General features: G+C 55.1%; 1 protein-coding gene across 4 annotated transcripts in view, besides 3 other annotated features; it reads left to right on the forward strand.

The window, feature by feature from the left end:
• Window positions 1-13,191, forward strand: part of LOXL1 (lysyl oxidase like 1) — a 25,675-nt gene extending 12,484 nt beyond the window's left edge. Inside the window, exons 1-7 of one of the 4 annotated variants that reach the window (XM_017022179.2) lie at window positions 3,269-3,709; window positions 3,909-4,017; window positions 7,472-7,609; window positions 8,122-8,278; window positions 8,862-8,957; window positions 10,514-10,629; window positions 12,886-13,191. In XM_017022179.2, the coding sequence (XP_016877668.1) occupies window positions 3,655-3,709; window positions 3,909-4,017; window positions 7,472-7,609; window positions 8,122-8,278; window positions 8,862-8,957; window positions 10,514-10,629; window positions 12,886-12,892 (678 nt within the window). In that variant the 5' untranslated portion in view covers window positions 3,269-3,654 and the 3' untranslated portion in view covers window positions 12,893-13,191. Of the gene's footprint in view, window positions 1-2,929; window positions 3,114-3,268; window positions 3,710-3,908; window positions 4,018-7,471; window positions 7,610-8,121; window positions 8,279-8,861; window positions 8,958-10,513; window positions 10,630-12,885 lie in introns of those variants that run through there. The other 3 variants (NM_005576.4, XM_047432498.1, XM_011521555.3) reach the window with 3 other exon arrangements.
• Window positions 1,596-2,491: an enhancer, noted in NCBI's record as "H3K27ac-H3K4me1 hESC enhancer chr15:74232882-74233777 (GRCh37/hg19 assembly coordinates)". NCBI's record gives its function as "activates a minimal SCP1, AML or CMV promoter by ChIP-STARR-seq in primed H9 embryonic stem cells {active_cell/tissue: H9 hESC(primed)}" and the evidence as "EXISTENCE:reporter gene assay evidence [ECO:0000049][PMID:30033119]".
• Window positions 13,586-14,269: an enhancer, noted in NCBI's record as "H3K4me1 hESC enhancer chr15:74244872-74245555 (GRCh37/hg19 assembly coordinates)". NCBI's record gives its function as "activates a minimal SCP1, AML or CMV promoter by ChIP-STARR-seq in primed H9 embryonic stem cells {active_cell/tissue: H9 hESC(primed)}" and the evidence as "EXISTENCE:reporter gene assay evidence [ECO:0000049][PMID:30033119]".
• Window positions 17,795-18,994: an enhancer, noted in NCBI's record as "CDK7 strongly-dependent group 2 enhancer chr15:74249081-74250280 (GRCh37/hg19 assembly coordinates)". NCBI's record gives its function as "activates an origin of replication core promoter dependent on BRD2, BRD4, P300/CBP, MED14 and CDK7 cofactors, with strong dependence on CDK7, by STARR-seq in HCT116 cells {active_cell/tissue: HCT116}" and the evidence as "EXISTENCE:reporter gene assay evidence [ECO:0000049][PMID:35650434]".

The raw sequence follows: 18,994 nt of genomic DNA on the forward strand, positions 1-18,994 counted from the left end.
CTTCCTTTAAAATGCATACTTTTTGAGGTGAGGGCTGATCACACAGTCTGATAATAACTGGACTTCACCCAACATTGGCCACTCTGCTTGGAGGGCCTGTTGTACCCTACAAGCCAAAAATTGCAGACCAGCCTCCTTACTCCTACACTGATCGTGTCCACTAGCCCCCAACTCAATCAACCCTTCTTTATCCCCTTCCAACATCACATAATCCCCCAGCCCCAAGCCCTGCAGAGGGGCCAAGAGCCCAAGCCTGCAGGCCTGGCTGCTGACGAAATGTCCCCTGGGAGAGCTGCCCAGAGAAGGAGCCATTGTTCCTTCCTGGAAAAACATACCAGCTATGGGAGGGGGTCTGCTATTCCCTGGGACCTCGGCAAGGATCCTGAGGGTGAGGCGGGGGGGCCTGGCCTGAACTCCTGAGGCTGCTCCTTTCCAGCAGCTTCCCCGAGCTGCTGCCTCTTGTGTCACCCCCATGGCCATGAGGGTGTGACAGAGGTGGAGCTCAGAGAGGGAGTCACAGGAGGCCCTGGTGATTGTTAGAGATGTAGAACAAAGAAACTTACAAAATAATGGTAAGAGTGATTCCATTTAAGTTCTAGAAAAGGCATAACTAATCTACAGTGATTAGAAGCAGAGCAGTGGCTGCCTGGGGTGGCGGAGGCGGGGAGAGGACTTACAGGGAAGGGGCCAGAGGGTGACAGAAACAATCCACAGCTTGATTGTGGTGGAAGCCACACGGCTTTATACATTTGTTAGAACTTATCAAACTGTACACCTAAAATCTGTGCATTTCACTGTGTATAGAGTACAGCTCAAAAAGTTTATTTTTATAAAAAGAGTGACAGGAGGAGTCCTGGGAGGGCAAGGAGACCTAGGATCTCCTCCTGGGGTACCCCAGCTCCCTGTGTGACCCTGTGCAGATTTATGGGCCTGAGCCTCAGTTTCCTCCGGTGCTTCCAAAGACATTATGTGCCTTGGTGTCTTGGGGGCAGGACATGGAAAACACTTTGGGTTGCCTAGAACAGTCATTAAAGAGGCTCTCCTGACAGAGCCTGAGGGGCTTTGGACCAGTCAGTCACCCTCAAAACAAAAGTTGCTCCACTGAGGGCGAGTAGGACTCAGGGCCTGCCCATAGAATGCCATCTGGAGCGGAGGAGACACACACAGGTTAGTATGGTGAAATCTAAGTGTAGATCAATACAGATGGGGTGGTGAGAGAGGAGAATTTTGTGCAGTCTGAGATATCATTGCAATCAGGGGAGACTTCCCGCAACAAGAGGCCCCTGCCTGAGCCTGAGATTCCTCAACAGTAAGAGGAAGAAGATGATCATCTGTAGCGAGGGTCAAGGCTCAGATTGTGACCAGCAGCCCCAAGCTGTTTGTCCTTAGTCTCTCTTCCAATTCTCCACATGCAGTACTCTACAAATGCCCCTCCTCCATAACTCTGGCACTTATAACCCTACTCCACTCAGTTTTAATCAGACTTGATGATATCACAGCAATTCCTGTTTTTTTTTTTTTCCTTTAGCTGAAGAGCTTTAGTCCATCATCAGGGGACAAACAGAAATGAGACTGAGATTCAGAATTGCTGATAGGCATCAGACCTCCGTCTGTGACCAGGATCAGGGCTCGGTGTGTGACCAGCATCGGGACTCAGACTGGGATCAGGAACAGGGCTTGGTGTGTGATCAGGGTCAAGGCTCAGGGTGTGCCCAGGGCCAGGGTTCAGTATGTGACCAAGGTCAGCGCTTAATGTGACCAGGGTCAGAGGTCAGTCTGTGACCAAGGTCAGGGTGCAGACTGTGATCAGGCACAGGGCTCAGTGTGTGTACATAGTCAGGGCTGGGAGAGGCCAGGAACAGCATTGGCCCTCACTGGCCCCACCTGGCCTCTTCCTCCCGCTCCTCCAACTTCCCTGGGTTGCATAGCCAGCTCATGAAATAGCCTAGATAGGAAGGGTCAGGCCACAAAAGCTTTGTGGAGCCATCTGTGCAGTATTTCTTGAAACTGGGCCTGGGGTGGGGGCAGCAAGCTGTCTGATGTCAAATGCTGGGTCTCCTGAGTCTTAAGGCCCAGCTACCCCACCCTATACGCAGCTGAGGGAAAGGCACTGGGTGATGGGGAAGGGGCCCATCCCTCTCATCCTCACCCCTCCCCCAGAGGCTTCCAGGGTCCAGAGAGTGAGAACCAGCTCCCAGCTGGCTTGAGGGCCTATGGGTCCCTTGGGAAATGACTGCAAACATTCCTAGGGGCTCAAGTAACAGGGCCTAGGCTGGCCAAGAAGTCCCCCACCAGCCAGGAGCCACCTCATCCTCACCCACCCTTGTACTCCAAGCTTCCTCATCATTCCAAGTAGGTGAGATCACCCTGGCTGCCTGGACCAGGCTCCCCCATGAGGCCCAGGCCCCAGGGAGAGCAAAGCTAGGGTCTGGGAACTCAGGGTGGTGTGGGGTGGGGGATATGCTGGCAGACACTTCTGCCGATGGCTTAGAAGCCAGCCTTCCCCTCCTTGGCCTCATCTTCCAGACCTAAAAGCTGATGAGAGGGTCTTGGCAGCAGGAAAGGGGTGGGAAATCCCTCCATGGGACTCAAGTCCTCCCACCTTGCCTGCTCTCACCCTTCCTGAATCCCTCAAGAGCAGAGGACTTCAAAGAAACTAAGAGGAGCTTACAGCCTCATCTTATCACTTACCTGACAGAATCCCTGAGGCCAGAGAGGAGACGGAATTAGAGGCCCCAGAACCACTCCCCTTTAAGTCAGTGGCTGGGCTGGGATAGAGCCCAGGGCCCTGGAGTCCCCCCTGCCCACACCCACTGCTGCCCGCACCCACCCCAGCCCACACCCCATCACGAACAGAGGAGATATTCCCTCTTCATTCCAATGCAGAATGGAGTCTGGACACCTAAGTTTGGTTTCTGCTTATTCCTAGTAACTCCTGCTCAGACTCCTGCATGCCCAGGGAGGAAGGTGGAGGGGCAGGAACAGGACGGACAGGCCCCGGGCTCTGGCACATCCTGGGGAACAAGGGACCACAAGGACGGGGGCAGTCTCCAGACTTCCCCTGGGCGCTTGACCCCAGGCCTTGCAGGGGAGAGAGCCAGGGCCTCCCTCAGGTTGGTGGCCGGAGGTTGCAGACAGAGGAGGGTGTGGTCAGGTCTAGGGTGATGATGGCAGGAAGTGGTGGCAGGTGATGGGGGGCGGGGGTATGGGGAGGAGTGGCTGCACCAGGCAGAAAGGAATCCTGAGAAGGTCAGGCTGGGTGCCCAGGCTGAGAATCCTGCCCTGTCAGCAGCCTGCTCTGGGGAAGTGTTTTCCTTCTAGCCCATCCCTTCCTGCCCACCCTGACTCCTGCCAGCCTGCATCCACCTGGCTCTGCCCATGAACCTTCAGGGACACACTCCAGGCCAGAAGCCCAGGGCTCTCTTGGTGGTTTACAAAGAATGCTGACTGCAGGGATGAGAGGAACGGAGGGTGTCTGGGGGCTGCTGTCCAGAGGCCTGGGGAGTAAGGACTCGAGGGAGTGCCTCTGTCAGGAAATTACATGGTTCACTCATTCCTGCCTCCAGGTCTTTGTTCATGCTGTTTTCCCTGCCGTGGACACCCTTTCCCGCTCTCTGATTCTCTAAATCCTGCCCCATCTCCCAGATCTTGTTCATGTCCAAGCTTTTCCAGGAAGTCTTAGCAGCTCCCACACCGCAGAGCTCGAGATGTAAGCTCTTGCTGCCTGACTTCCCTGACCCCACACCTGGGCCCAGGACCTAACACCCAAGGAGAATGGCAAAGGGTTTTGGGGTATGAGAGGATGTTTGGGGTGTGAGGAGGTCTCTGGGCATTAGCAGTGGCCAACCTGATGCTCTCAATGTCATGCTCTTCCTCCCTCCCCCCTTCTCTCCCACTGCCCACTCCAGGTCTCCCTGACTTGGTCCCAGACCCCAACTATGTGCAAGCATCCACTTATGTGCAGAGAGCCCACCTGTACTCCCTGCGCTGTGCTGCGGAGGAGAAGTGTCTGGCCAGGTAAGGAGCTGAGGCAGAAGTGTAGAGTGTTGGGATAGTCCCCGGGAGTCACCCAGAACCCAGCCTAGCTGTGGCTGCCAGCTAGGCTGTCTGCAAGCTGATGACCCTGGCCAAGTGCCCCAGCCTCCCAGGACCCTGACCGTTTCATCAGTGAGCCTTGCCTGCCCCGAGGGAGTCAGGAGGGGAGGGGAGCAAGCGGGGGCCCAGCATTTCTGTATACTGTACCTCACTATACAAGGAACTCCACTTTTACTGTGGCACTTCATCTTTATATGAGCCCTGAAGGCATGGGTTACCCCCTCAGGAAACTGAGGAGCAATGAAAGGAACTCAAACCTTTTGGATCTGAGCTGTTTAATGAGAAGGTTCCTTTTGGGAGCCCAGGCTTCCAGTGGTCATACAGGGACCCAAGGAAGTCCTATTGGGTGGATGTACCTGCAGGATAGAGCCCAGGAGTATGGAGCCATGTCCACAGAGGACAGTTGTGGCTTTGGCTGGTCCAGGCTGCCTCTGCCTAGTCACAGCAGGGGCAGTGAGCCCGGGGGACAAAGAAGTTTCAGTTATATGTTGCACTGGAAAGAGGGGAAGGAGACCAGTTTCCATGAACCTAGAAGGTGAGCACAGCTGGCTCGCCATTATTCATGGGTGATCCTGCCTCTCGCAGTGTTTGCTTCTAATTTATAAGCAGTTCATATTCTGCTGGAACATAGGTGCTTTGCGGATACCTCCCTGGGCCAAAATAATTAGTTAAGATTATGTTATCTGCTTCTTTTGTTAATATCCCTTTATGTTGAAAGCACCTATTTTTCTTAATTACCTGCTTTTTGGACATTTGAACTCTCTGTTTAGTTTGACTTTTTACTATCTAGGAAACTCTTTAGAATCTCAACATTTTCTCATTTCTAGAACTTCTAGTTCACTGCCACTCTAAGTAGCTGATCATAAACCCTTATCTGTCTGTAACAAGATAAAGAGCTTGAACTAGAATGTAACTCAACTCACTCCTTCATTGAGAAAGTCTTGCTTTAAAAAAAGAAAAAGTATCCGCTGAACTAAGCAGAGTGATTAGGAATGTTGTCGATGTACATTCTGGTGCAAGTTCCCAATCCCATCCCAGACTGGCATCAGTGTGGGAACTGCCCCTGGTCCAGGGACCGCAGGCTGAGTACCACTCAGCCAGCCTGTCTGGGCAGTTCTTGTCTTGTTTCAGTTGTCTTGGGGAAGAGAGCATAATGGTCCTGCTGGAATTCCTCCAGCAATGAGGAACTTACAGCCTCCATGACAGCCCTTCCAGTCTTAAGAGAATTAGTCAAAGTCAAACTATTAACATCACTGCCTCTTCATGAAGGATCCTGAGTGCCCGGACCTGCGCTCCCAGCTGGGGAGAGGAGGCAGCCTGTCCTCTGTCCTGGAGGGTCTCCTGGTACAGCTGGAGAGAACAGCCCTCACCTGTACCCCAGTGACAGAACCAAGACACGAGTGGGAAAAGAGCCAGAAGGACTGGTTCACAGGCCAGGGCTGCTGGAGGTCAGAGGAGGGAGGGATCAGCAAGGGCTGAGGCCTCAGAGGAGGTGGGCGTGGGAGTTCAGACCTGGAGAATCCTGCAAAACTGGAGCCCTGGGGCAGGAGGGCCCTCTGAGATCATTTCAAGTATGGGCCGCAGGCTGGTGCCAGTTCACATGCTGCAGGCAGAACCCAGAGAAGAAAAGGGACCAATTCCAAGTCTCACCACCAGTTTGTGGCCAAGCTGGGCCTAGAACCTAGACCCTTATGGTTTCCCACGGTGTGCTGAGCCGAACAGAAGGGCAGGATTTAACTGAACAGAGGGAAGGAGGATGTTTTGTTTCAACCCAGACATAGACAGATTCCAAGCCTCCCCCAGACAAGGCTGAGGGCCTTTCATCCTGGCAGACAGTCTGAGCCGCCTGTTGTCCAGACATTCTCTCAAAGAGAGCGCTAATCCCTACGACTGGCCACCGCTCCCCTCTGGCCTTAGGATCGGACCTTAATGAGTGCCAGGGAAGAGCCCCTGAGGCCAACAGAGTTAGCTGTCAGCCGTCAGCTAAAGAGGGGAGGGGCCTTCAGCCACCCCTTCCTGTTCCTACCACACATGTGTGTGCATGTGTGTGTATGTGTGCATGTGTGTGTGTCTCCCCTCACTGCAGCCCCTCGTTCCTCTTTCCACCCTTTTCCTTTTGTCACAAGGCCTACCTCAGTTGGAAATCTGGAGTCAGCAGGTGACTTGCGAGCAGGCAATTCATACCAGACCCATGTTCCCTGAATGGAAAAGGGCAGGTTGCCAGCCTGAAGCCATGCAATCAGGGAGAGGTGGTCTGGACCCAGTGCAAGATGTAGATGGTATCGGGCTGTGCTGCAGTCAGTGCTGTTAGAGCTCACAGGCAATCCGGATCCTCTATGTAGAGCAATCAGGGCAGACTTCCTGGAGGAGGGGACTTTTGAGTTGACCCTAGGATACTGGGTGAGTTTTGGAATTCTGGGTCAAGCAAACAGCATGGGCAAAAGTATGGGTCAGGGAAAAAGTTCAGCCTGTTTGGAAAATAGGCTTTGAAGCAGGAACCCAGGGTGTGTGGGGGAGTGGAAGGGCAGATGGGACTAGAAAAGTGAAGAGGCTTTGACCAGAGGACTTCACGTCTGTTTTTCAGGCCCACACCCAAGACATGGCATACTTTGGTCAACAATTAGGGCTCTGTCTTGTTGTCAGAGACTTATCAGAATCTCCTGGATAGGACTTTTTTTTTTCTTTTTTTTAGAAAGGGGGTCTCACTCTGTTGCCCAGACTGGAGTGCAGCAGCACAATTATAGCTCATTGCAGCCTCAAATTCCTGGGCTCAAGGGATCAGTCTCCAAGTAGCTGGGACTACAGGCATAAGCCACCTTACCTGGCTAATTTTTTAATTTTTTAAAAATTTCTTTAATTAAATTAATTTTTTAAATTTTAATTTCTCACTATGTTGCCCAGGCTGGTCTCAAACTATGGGCCTCAAGTGATCCTCCTGCCTCGACCTCCAAAAAGCTCTGTAATTACAGGCATGAGCCAAAGTGCCTGGCCCCCGCAATAGGGCTGTTTTTCAGTGGCCCTTCAGAGATTGCTATGTGCTCCTGCACCTAGGGGCTGACCCCAGCTGAGTCACCTGCAGGTATCAGGGACACTGCCATGCTTGGTACCGCTTTAGAAAGATGCTGTTGGCAGCTGGCGGCCACATGGTGGAGGCCAGAAAGGAGGGGACAGCCAGGATTTCACGGGGTCAGAAGACAGAGGAAGAGGCCTGAGCCTCCGCCACAGTTCGAGGAGACAGAGGAGAAGATCTTCAGGGACAAGGAGTGGGGCTGCAGAACCAGTGGCCAAGGGCTGGGGGTGGGGCTGAGGGGGCCCATGCTGGGTTCTGGTGTCACTGTGCCCCAACCCCCCCTCATCTCCCCCGCCGTCCCTGCAGCACAGCCTATGCCCCTGAGGCCACCGACTACGATGTGCGGGTGCTACTGCGCTTCCCCCAGCGCGTGAAGAACCAGGGCACAGCAGACTTCCTCCCCAACCGGCCACGGCACACCTGGGAGTGGCACAGCTGCCACCAGTGAGTGGGGAGGGGCTGGGCCCGTCCTCTTCCACTTCTCCTCTGGGCCAGGGACCTTGGTGCCTGAGCTCCCCTCCCACCATGAGCACTCTGGGAGACACAGATACTGGATTAGAGGGCCCGGGGAGGTGTTACCTGCCAACTCTTTTCACTGGGGCAAGTGTTTCTCAGAGAAGCCTTAGCCAAAGCTAGGCTGGAAGATGGATATAGAAGGATTGGTCTCAATCAGGGATGGAAATGTCTAGAATACAGGGCATTGCCCAGTGAGGCCATTACAGGTGGGAGCCCAAAAAGGAAGTGAGGGGTCTAGAGCATGTGCTGTCCTGGAGTGACCCAGCTAGGTGGGGAGCACAGAGGGGCCACCCCGCAGTACTCAGGAGACAGGAGAACCTAGACCAGCCAGGAGGCTGTGCCACAGCAGGGTCACCTGAGCCCATCTCAGGATGGGGACAGGATGAGAGGCCCAGGGAAGACTAGGCCCTCTTCTTTCTCCTTCTCTCCTCTGCCCCTAGGCATTACCACAGCATGGACGAGTTCAGCCACTACGACCTACTGGATGCAGCCACAGGCAAGAAGGTGGCCGAGGGCCACAAGGCCAGTTTCTGCCTGGAGGACAGCACCTGTGACTTCGGCAACCTCAAGCGCTATGCATGCACCTCTCATACCCAGGTTGGGCTGGAGAGATGGGGTTTGGGGCATGGGAGGATAAGGAGTTGGGGAGGCAAAGAGCGAGGCCCGCTGAGGCCCGGCAAGTGCCAAGGCTTCTGGCCACTCAGCTCTGCTCACAGTGAAGGTCTTCTCACCAGTCCTCAGGCTGCCACACTGCCCTGCAGGGACTGTTCCCTCCCTGCCCCAGCCCCTTTCCCATGTTATTCCAGGTGATCTGCTCGTGGAGAGAAGGAAACATCGCAACAGTCTGGAGAGCAACACGTCCTATTGGCCTGTTCACCCACCCATATCCCTCTTTCCATCAGCCACCCTAAATATCCACAAACTGTCCATCTGTCCTGTCTCTTTTTATCCATTCTGCCATCCATCTCGTCCCTCCCACCTGGCTATTAGATATCTGTCTTTCCTCTGGTCCATCTAGCCAGTGGCTTTAGGAAGGTGTGGACCCACCCTGAGCAGTTGCCCTGGGCCAGGGTCAGGGGAGAAACCCAGGGGAAGGTGGGCCAGAAACTCCTGAAGGTGGGCGTGGGGTGGCTCTGGGAAACAAGCAGCATCACAGCCGCTCCTCTTGTCCCTTTCCCAGGGCCTGAGCCCAGGCTGCTATGACACCTACAATGCGGACATCGACTGCCAGTGGATCGACATAACCGACGTGCAGCCTGGGAACTACATCCTCAAGGTGGGCCTCTGGGTCTGGGGCTTTCCCTCCAACCTGATGTTCATGTCCAATGTCCCCCCGTTCCTGAAAGAAGCTTCAGCCTCTGGGCCTGTTCCCTTCTCCCCAGCTGCCGAGCAGAGGCAGCATCTGAGGCATCACTTGAGGTTTAGGCTTCCCAGCCGAAGATTTAGGTCTCAGGCTGACATAGCCTCTCTTTCCATAAAGAACCCAGGGAACCTTTGCCCCAGCTGTGGTAATGCCAGAGGCAGTGGTGATACTGTCTCCCTAAGTGACAGAGGACCAGGGAGAGCAAGAAAGACTTGGAGAGCCATGTGGTCTATCTTCCTGTCTTCGGACAGGGCAGACTTTGTATCATTTGGGAGACAGATGAGAGGCCCTCAGCTCCTTATAGGGACCCCTGCAAAGCCAAGGGCTCCTGTGACTAAGACCCTTTTAGCCTGAACCCCTCCTGCTCTAATGGACACTCACTCCATCACCTCTTCCCTTGGTTGAGGGAAAAGTAGAAAAGCATATTAACAACACACATCCAGACTTGGTACATCCGTGTAGGCCAGGTTGTCATGGGCCCACCTGGGGAAGCCATGTCTCAGCCTCCTCCACACAGGTATAAAATGAGTAGGGATCATTCCACCAGTTCATCTGGACCCACTCAGAAGCAGAAAAGCAGCTCAGTAAAGGCAGAGCAGTGAAGCCAGGTTTGCAGGCGGAGGCCTTCCCTGCAGAAAGTCAGCAGGTGGAGAGATGCATCCGGCAGCGGTTCTCTGCAGTTCCCTCCTGAGTGCTCTTCAGCAGGCTCCAAGCTTGCTCCTCCAGGGCCTGGGGTTGTCCAGTATATTTTTTCTTTTCCTCATTCATCCACTCAATCAACATGTAGGAAGTCCCCTCTGAGTTCTAGGCACTAGACACACAAACCACATAAGCAATGCAGTTCACAGTCCCTGCCCTTTGGGAGTGTACCAGGATTTGAAAGTTGCATCCCTGCATCTGTTCTTAGATGTTCTGCAAATAAAGCTGGCCCTACCCTAGTTAATCCAACATTTAAAAGTGTTGTATCCCAACAGCTCCTTTTCAGACAAAAAGCACAGATCATACTTGGGCCATCATCTCAGTGAATGTTGGGCACGTGGGGCTCCAGAGCAGGGGATCAGACAGGCCCTCGATCAGTCACCTAGACAGGGATGCATAGGGAATGACTTTGAGCCTTGGATTTGGGGAGACCAGGTGTTGAATCCTGGCTCAGCTCCTCATTACTGCATTCCCTCGGGCAGGATCCAACCTCTCTGACCCCAAATGCCCCATGCGGGGCCCACCTGGCATAGGCTCTAGCTCTAGGGAAACATCCAATCTTCTGATAAGGGGGATTAGATGATGTTTTCTTGGATTACCAGCTGCCTCTTCTTTCCCCTCTGTGTCTCTCTAGCAGTGTGTCTCTGTTCTCCCTCTCTCTGTCACCTCTCTGTCTGTCTGTCTGCCTCTTTACCACCTTCTCTGGTGAGCAGTTGAGGTGCAGCCCCCCTGACTAGACTCCCTTTCTCCCTGTTTCTCTTCTTCCTCAGGTGCACGTGAACCCAAAGTATATTGTTTTGGAGTCTGACTTCACCAACAACGTGGTGAGATGCAACATTCACTACACAGGTCGCTACGTTTCTGCAACAAACTGCAAAATTGTCCAGTAAGAGTTTGCCCACCACCCTTCCTGGCTCCGTCCCTTTCCTGCCTGGGGAGCAGGCAAGGCCACCTGAGATACCTAAGATACCTGCACTTTAGGTCACCTTGATGGCCGAACGCAGCTGCAGCAGGGCCCATCAAAAAGAGCCTTGTCCGTGCCAACCCCAAGCTGAGTGTTTACGGTGGGGCTCAGGCCGTAGGGTGTTGATCTGGGGCTGCATCCTGTGGCTCCCTGAGATGTCCCAAGTGAAAACCAGCAGAAGGCAGAGTCATTTGATGCAAGGCCATGAGCTCTGCAGTCCCAGTTCCACAGCTTCCTCGCTATGTGACATTGGGTTACTTCCCTGAGCTACTTTCCTCAACTATAAAATAGGTATTTCCACATAGGCTGGCAATGAGGATCTACAGGCCTGATGTCTGCATGTTCACAGTGGCACACAGTGAACAGCAGCTGTGATCATTAGTGTCCTTTTCAAGTGGACTGGATTAAACAGTCACAGATTAGAAGTGATTCTGGTTCAAAGGAGCCATCTTCAGTCCCTAGGCCCCCATTGTAGAAGAAGTGCCTAAAATCTGGGCTTGGGATTTTGGCACATGCTGCTGGGTAGGGTCCTCAGTCTTTCTCCTGATTCCCCATGTGAAGTAGTTTGCAGAGGGACCCCTTGCTTACAAGCTCACAAGGAAACCCCACCACACTCCAGATCGAAGCAACCCTTTTCCATTAAAAAAAAAAAAAAAAATTAGTCCTAGAGCTTTCAGCTTTAGTTCATCAACTGGGAGAAAGGTGGTAGAGATCTTAAGGCCCAGAGAGGTATCTTTCCCTAAAAGTGTGTACTTATTAATGGATGGCAGGTATGAGAGATTAAGCCTATGACTATGGTCAGGGTGTGGTGTATGGCCAGGGTCAGGATTCAGTCTGTGACAAGGGTTAGGGCTCAGTGTGTGACAAGGGTTAGGACTCAATGTGTGACCAGGATCAAGGCTCAGTGTGTGACCAGGATCAGGGTTCAGTGTATACCTAGGGTCAGGGCCCAGTGTGTGACCAGGGTCAGGGCTCAGTCTGTGACCAGAGTCAGGGCCCAGTGTGTAGCCAGGCTCAGGGCTCAGTGTGTGACCAGGATCAGGGCTCAGTGTGTGACCAGGATCAGGGCTTAGTGTGTGGCCAGGGTCAGGGCTCAGTCTGTGACCAGAGCCAGGCTCATTTAGAGACAGCCCTCTCACACTTGGTTGCTACCATCAACCTAACTGTTCACAGCATGCTGCCACCACATCATGAATATTAAAAATGGGAACAGCAGCCTCCAGTTCAGTGCAGAGATTAGGTTCCTCATGAGTAGAATGAGATCAGAATTCCCCAGGGCACACAGCATGTTTGAAAGGACGAACTCCTGTCCCATCACTGGCAGTTTGGCTCTTTAGCAGGCCTGGGTTTCCAGCACATTCCTGCTCCTCAGGGCCTGTCTTAGCCATTCAAGACCCAGGGTCACCTAAGTGGTAGAAGCCATTCTAGGGAAGGAGGAGGAAGGAAGAAGGGGGTATCCAGGAAACAAAGGAGGCTGCTGGGGGCTCGGGGAGGCAGGGAATCCCTCCTGCTGCTGGGAAAGGGGGATGGGAACAGAAACAGCATCCCACGTGCCAGGCGCCTGGAGCAGCCAGGAGGGCTGTCGGCAGGGCAGATGGAGAAGCAGCCTGCGCGGCCCTCCCAGCTCCCCGGGGGCCTGTGGGCAGCAGGGGGAGCCAAAGCCCTTCCTTCCAAGAGCTCTTTACATAAGTGCTTGGAAAGGCCGGGCCTTATTAGAGTGTCTCAGTCTCTGTGACCCTGACCGCAGGCAGGCAGCTGGGCCAGCGTGCACAGGAAGCTGGACAGAGCGTTCCCAGAAAGGCCACGGGACTGACGCCTGTGGGTTTCCATCGTGTTTCTGGAGGAAAAAGGAGGCTTAAAAAAAAAAAAGTACTGAGTTAGAAAAAACAAGAAAGTATTTCCAGACAGTAGCAGCTCTGCTAATGGCCTAGAAAACAATCTGGGACTAGGGCATGGGGAGGGGAATGTGCTGAGACTGTGCCCTGGGTGGGTGGGAGTCCATCAAACCCCTCCTTTTGGAGCTGGGCTGAGGGGGTCGGAACTTTCTCTTGAGGGAAATGTAGGCCCATGCCTGCCCTGCCACGAGGGATCTGGGCTGTGGGAGGGACGCCCTGGCTGAGGAGGCCACGGGGGCCTACTTTGCAGCCCCTCATTGACCCACTGTCTTTCCTTCCTCAGATCCTGATCTCCGGGAGGGACAGATGGCCAATCTCTCCCCTTCCAAAGCAGGCCCTGCTCCCCGGGCAGCCTCCCGCCGAGGGGCCCAGCCCCCAACCCACAGGCACGGAGGGGCATCCCTCCCTGCCGGCCTCAGGGAGCGAACGTGGATGAAAACCACAGGGATTCCGGACGCCAGACCCCATTTTATACTTCACTTTTCTCTACAGTGTTGTTTTGTTGTTGTTGGTTTTTATTTTTTATACTTTGGCCATACCACAGAGCTAGATTGCCCAGGTCTGGGCTGAATAAAACAAGGTTTTTCTACTCTGTGGCTCTGCATGCGGCCTGCTGGCTGGCTGGCCAGCCACAGCTAGTTTGGGCCTGGGGGATGTCCTTAGGCATCATCCTTCCCCTCGCCAAATGTGGAAAGGGCAGCCACCACCCGGTCAGGACCACAGTGACCATGAGGGCGCTGAGCCCATCGTGGAAGCCTGTGGGGTTGAGCCCTTGGCCAAGCCTGTCGCATGGGAATGGGACCACATCCGACTAGGGGAGGGCCCTGCAGCGGGGTGGGCGGCACCAGCCTGCTCTCCCTGCTCAGCCCCTGCTCCTATCTGGGCTCGTGTGCCCACTGCTGCCCCTTCTCAGCCTTCAGCCTCACACTCCCACCGGTCCCCCTCCTGGCCCTCTCACTCTCACACCGTTCACTCTCCACCAGCCACCCACTCCCTTACAATTGCAGGCTCCCGAACTCAAGTCTCCTGAAGGCCAGGTGCTGTGCTAGGGCACACGCAGGAGCATCGTAGCTTCTGCCCTCAGGGAGCGCATAACCACAGGGAACGGGGAGCACGCGTTGCCCAGTGAGGCAGCACCTAGGGGTTCTGGGGAGCCTTCACATGGGAGAGAGCCTCCTTCCAGGCAGGGAGGGGAGAAGAGGATTCTTGGCAGAGAGACAGCATTGAGCAGAGATCATGAGGTGGGGCTGCAGGCCGACAGGGTGTGAGTGGGAGATGGAGGGAGGCCCCGCAGCCCTGCAGCCCCCGTCCCCTGCCCTGGCTGTGGCATCCCAGAGGTCCTGGACACTGGAATGGACCAGGAAGAAGTGAGAGGGTGGTGCCTCTCCTCCTCGAGGCCCTGAACAACGAGCCCTCGGGATGCCTCCAGACCCACCTGCTTCCCTGTGGGGGCAACACCAGTGAGAAAGGGAAAGAGACTTTGTCCAAGTACCAGGGCTCTGGGTTCCAGGGCCAATCCTGCTCACTGCTGTGTGACTGTGGGCAAGTCAGACTTCATCTCCGGGCCTCAGTTTCCTCATGAGTAAGATGGGAATGCCCTCCTGCCTGGCTCCCACACTGACATGGAGAGTTGATGAGCTACTGCTGCAGGGGAGGTGCCGGGGGAGCTACAGGGTGTCAGCACCCACCCCTCCAGATCTTGGTGAGCCCCAGCCCATTTGCAGAGGTCCTCCAAGAAGGTGTCCCCTGCTTTTGGCTCTGATGCGATCCTTGCCTCAGGGTCCCTGGTAGCAAGGAGGTTTTCTGGTGCAGTAGAGAGGGAGGGCTTCTTGGAGCCATGCTATGCATCCAGGAGGGTTCTGGCCCAGTCCCCTGGAGCCCTTGGGCCACTCACCAGCCCAGGCAGCAGGGTGGAGTGGGTGTGGCTGCAGCCCTCCCTCGGCCCTTCCTCTGCAGGTCTGGCTGGGATTTAACTCTGCTGACAGGGTAGGTGCCGCAGCTCTGCCACTCTCCCTCTGGAGCTGGACCAGGACGGGTGAGAGGAGTACAGGCACATGCCTGTCATCCAGGGCTGCCATTCTGCTGCATCCCCTGCCGGTGTGTGCTTCCCAAGATGCTGTCCTTATTGCAGCCCCACCCCCTCTCCTTCCTAGATACTCCCAGGAGTGAGCTTGGGAGGGGGTCAGACAAGGTCAACCAATTCCAGACTGTCAGGAGGCCCGTATGAGGTAGAGACAAAAGCCCCCATTTCTCAGGTCAGAAAACTGAAGCCTGTCTGAGACCACAGGCAAGTTCAAGGCAGACACAGTGCTGGAGCTCACGTCTCTAAGCCCTAGGCCAGGGCCAAATGCCGGGTGTGTGCAGTTTTCTGGGGAGATCTGTACCCTCAGCAGATGAGCTATGGCCCTGAACACAGAATTGGATGGAAGGAGAGAGTAAGGGTGGCTTTTCCAAAAAGCCCACACATCACAAAGTGTGGGGAGGTGGGGAGCACACAAGGAGACTCCCAGACACAGTGCTCCCGCGTGCCCATGAACCTTTGGCCTGAAGTTCAGATTCTAGGGGGGCTGGTGGATGTCCCCAAGCCTGCCATCAGAGTGAGGACACCTGGGCCAGTCCTCACATGCTGGGAGGACTCTGAGATTAGATCTCTGGGGAGGGGCTTCAGATACCCCTTTGCCCCCCAAAAAGCAGAGGAGGCTTTCACCCAAAGGAGAAGAGAGATAGAGAGAGAAGAGAGAAGACAGCCGTGACGCGCAGGGACCAGGGCAGCCCTCACCGCTTCCTGGCTGACCTGTCAGGGCCCTATCAGTGCAGCTTCACGGCACTGCCCAGCAGTGACGGCCCCTCGGGAAAGGAGATGCAGCTGCTCCCACCTCAGGGGGCAGGGTTTCCTCAGGTATTTTGACTCCATGTAGAATGGCAGAGTCTCCCTGAGAATGGGGAGAGAAAAACTGTCAAGACGGCAGGGGCCCAGCAGGCGCTGAGCTGAGGAGGGCGGCTGGGAGAGGAGTGCTCTCCCAGCTCGGCCTCAGCCTCTTGAGGTCTGTCTGGCTGTCACTGCATGGAGGAACAGCCTGCTTGTTCCTTGTTCTTGCTGTCACCTGGCTCGGGCCCCTCCCTAGATAGAGCTCACCTGTTGGGCTCACCCCACCAAGCCAGGCCCAGGGAGGGGTGTGTGAGGCCCACTGGAGGCCAGGTCACGTGACGCAGGGACTCAGGCCCACTGGTCCCTTCACCCTTCCGTTTGCCCCTTCAAGGCCAGCTGAAACCCCGATTTCTCGAAGCCTTCCTTAACCATCCCCTCTCCCCTTCAACTGGGGTGCACTGTGTGGCCTCATTCAGGACTCTCCCACCCCCACCCTGCCACGGACACACAGGGGCATGGGAGGAGGCACCCGAGCCTTGCATGCTGGACAAAGGTTACATAGGTGCCATCTCAGCCAGGTGCAGTGGCTCACGCCTGTAATTCCAGCGCTGTGGGAGGTCGAGGCGGGCAGATCACTTGGGGTCAGGAGTTCGAGACCAACTGGCCAACACGGCAAAACCCCATCTCTGCTAAAAATACAAAAATTAGCCAGGCATGGTGGCACGCGCCTGTAATCCCAGCTATTCGGGAGGCTGAGGCAGGAGAATCGCTTGAACCCAGGAGGCGAAGGTTGCAGTGAGCCAAGATTGTGCCACTGCACTCCAGCCTGGGCGATAGAGTAAGACTCTACCTCAAAAAAAAAAAAAAAAGAAAAGCAAAACAACAACAACAAAAAAACCATAGGTGCCATCTTCACTCCTGACCCAGCACCTCCTTCTGGGCTGCACAGACCAAGAGGGTCTCTGCTGGTACACTGGGCACTGGTGTGCAGGAATCCACCTGGGCTGTAAGGGCCTCAAGTCACCTGCCCAGCATCCCTCCCTGTCCTCTTCTTGCTCAGCCCCAGGGCTGGGGAGCTCACTGCTTCTCGAGACATTTGCTGTTAGAAACACCTTGAGGTGAAACAGACCCCCACCCCCTGCCCCGCAGCCTTCCCTTGGGCTGGTCCTCGGGGTCTACTAAGTAAATGACTCTGGTGGATGTGACTGGACAGCAGGAAGGACAGAGACAGCAGAGGCGACACCTGGCAGGGGGCACAGCTGTGGCCCTGACTCTGTCCTTCAGTGGGCCTCAGTCTCCCTATCTGTCCTGAGGGGGCTGAGTGTCTTGCTAGTCCTTACCTGGCAGAGAAGAAGGGGCAGGGGAAGAGAAGAGAGGGAGGGGAGGAAATGGGAGGTAGAAGGAGGCTGGGTAGGGAGTGATAGGCAAAGTCCAGCCTGGGGGAAGGTGGGCAAGCAGCAGGGGGACTGCCTCAGAAGGGGAGCAGGGAGCCAGCAGAGGCACTGCTAGGGCTGCAGCCTGGTGAGGGCTGGGGCGTTATCTGGCTTGGAGGATGCCACAGAGAGAGGCCTGAAGTGGGGGTACTGGACCTCAAACCAGGGCTGGCCTGAAACCCTTGGAAGGGCCTGCTAATAGAGACAGAGGTGCCCTGGGCCCTTGGCAGGGCGGGGTGGGCTCTGAAAGCCAGCCCAGACCTGACCCCTCTGCGGCCTACCATCTTGGCCACAGCCTTGACCTTCTCCCTCCCCCTGCACCTCAGATGCCCACACCCCCTGTGCATTACACTGTGCGCTCCCACCCAGGGCAGCAGCCCCCTGCAGGGAGGGCCCAGGCTAAAATCCCACCCATTCTGTTTCCTCTCCTTCCACTAGAATCCCACCTGTTTTGAGAAGTTGGCAGGGCCTGTGTTAGGGAAGCACCTGATAACCAACGTGAGAATGGTGGCGCTGGTCCCATGTCCTGTCTCACTTTTAGATGAAGAGCTTCTTCATCCTCAAAAAAAATGACTCAGAAGAGAGCCCTTTAATAGACTGCTCGGCTAGGGGTGGAGGGCTCGTAAGGATATTTACAGATCCTTGAAAACAGAGCTTCCAGCATTTAACCCTGAAGAGAGCTGGAGCCTGGGCCCCAACTCCTTACCCCACCTGAGCCTCCTCTCTGCACTGGAGGCCTCTGAGCCTGACTCCGCGCACCCCACGCTGGCCCACAAGCCAAGGCTCCTTCTGATGCCCCCTGAGGCTGCTGGCATTGGCCAGGGCTCCATCAGCACCTCCTTGGGTGGGGGGGATTACCGCTTTCCCTACTTACTCCAGCCTTGGTTAGGGGGCCCATTTCCCAGCTCCTGCCAGGCTCTCCACCCATTTGTGGTCAAGGCAAGAGAGACCACACCCCCTTGAATGTCCAGGCACTGAGTCCCTGCCGGCTACTCATACGGATGGGCCCTCCCCAGCCATTCCTCACCACGGCTGCGTCCGGATCCACACCACAACCACAGCATTGTTGGAAAGCAACTGCACACCTCCCTGCAACTTCCCCTCGCATCCCCCAGACTGAGTCATGCAGGCGGTGCCCGTGGGCAGACCTGGCCAGGGTTGGCACCAGCTGGCCAGAGAGAATGAGAGGCACTGACCACACCCAGGAACCTCGCTAAAGCCCATGCATAAGGGTCAGGAGAGCAGCCAGATGCTGGGACCCAAGGGTGCCTGTGACACACACCACCCTGAAAGTTGCAGCTGAGCTTTTCTGAGAAGGATGGCAAAGTCCTGGAAAAGCTTTAACGACAAAACTCAACATATGGAAGGCAGAGGAAGCAGGTAAGGATTCTGGTCTCCTTTTATGTGAAATAGCTTTAAAAAAAACTTTTTCAAAATCACGTTTAATATGCGTTGAGCCCCCTGGCTACCAGGTGGGAAAGTCAAAGTCCTGAATCATTTACTCCCACCCTAGACACCTTGAACTTCAGAACTTCAGAGAGGAGTCCTGTGGTCTTTAGTCCTCCTGGTCACCGCTCCCTGGCTGATTCACTCTCCTCCAGGGGCGGTGTCTCCACTTCCTGCAAAGCTTGGGCACATGGGCAGCCATGTCCCTCGAGGTTCGCCACCTCCCCAGGGCACTGCCAGGAGGCACTGTCCTCGTTACTAGCAGAGCCAGAGCCACCACCACAACCATAGCCACCACCTCCCCAGCCCAGGGAACTCTCCCAGCCTCTTTCCTCGGCCTGTCTTCACTCCCTTCTAACTACTCACTCTTTTCCTCTTCCTCTCTGGGGCAACCTTCCATCATCCCTGCCATGTGCCTTGGTTCAAGGAATCAGCTTTGGATTCTGGCCCTTAAGATGAGGAGTCACAAGTACCTCCTAGGAATGAGAAAGAGGAAAAGACCTAGCAGGGGAATGCCAATAATATTAGTGACACTCACTAATTTCTTCAACACTTAGCCATGGGCCAGGCCCTGCTCTAAATGCTCTACAAAGGTTAAGCCCATTTAATCCTCACAAGAACTCTATGAGGGAGACACTGTCATT

This window comes from Homo sapiens, chromosome 15 (assembly GCF_000001405.40).
Source record: "Homo sapiens chromosome 15, GRCh38.p14 Primary Assembly".
NCBI lineage: Eukaryota > Metazoa > Chordata > Mammalia > Primates > Hominidae > Homo > Homo sapiens.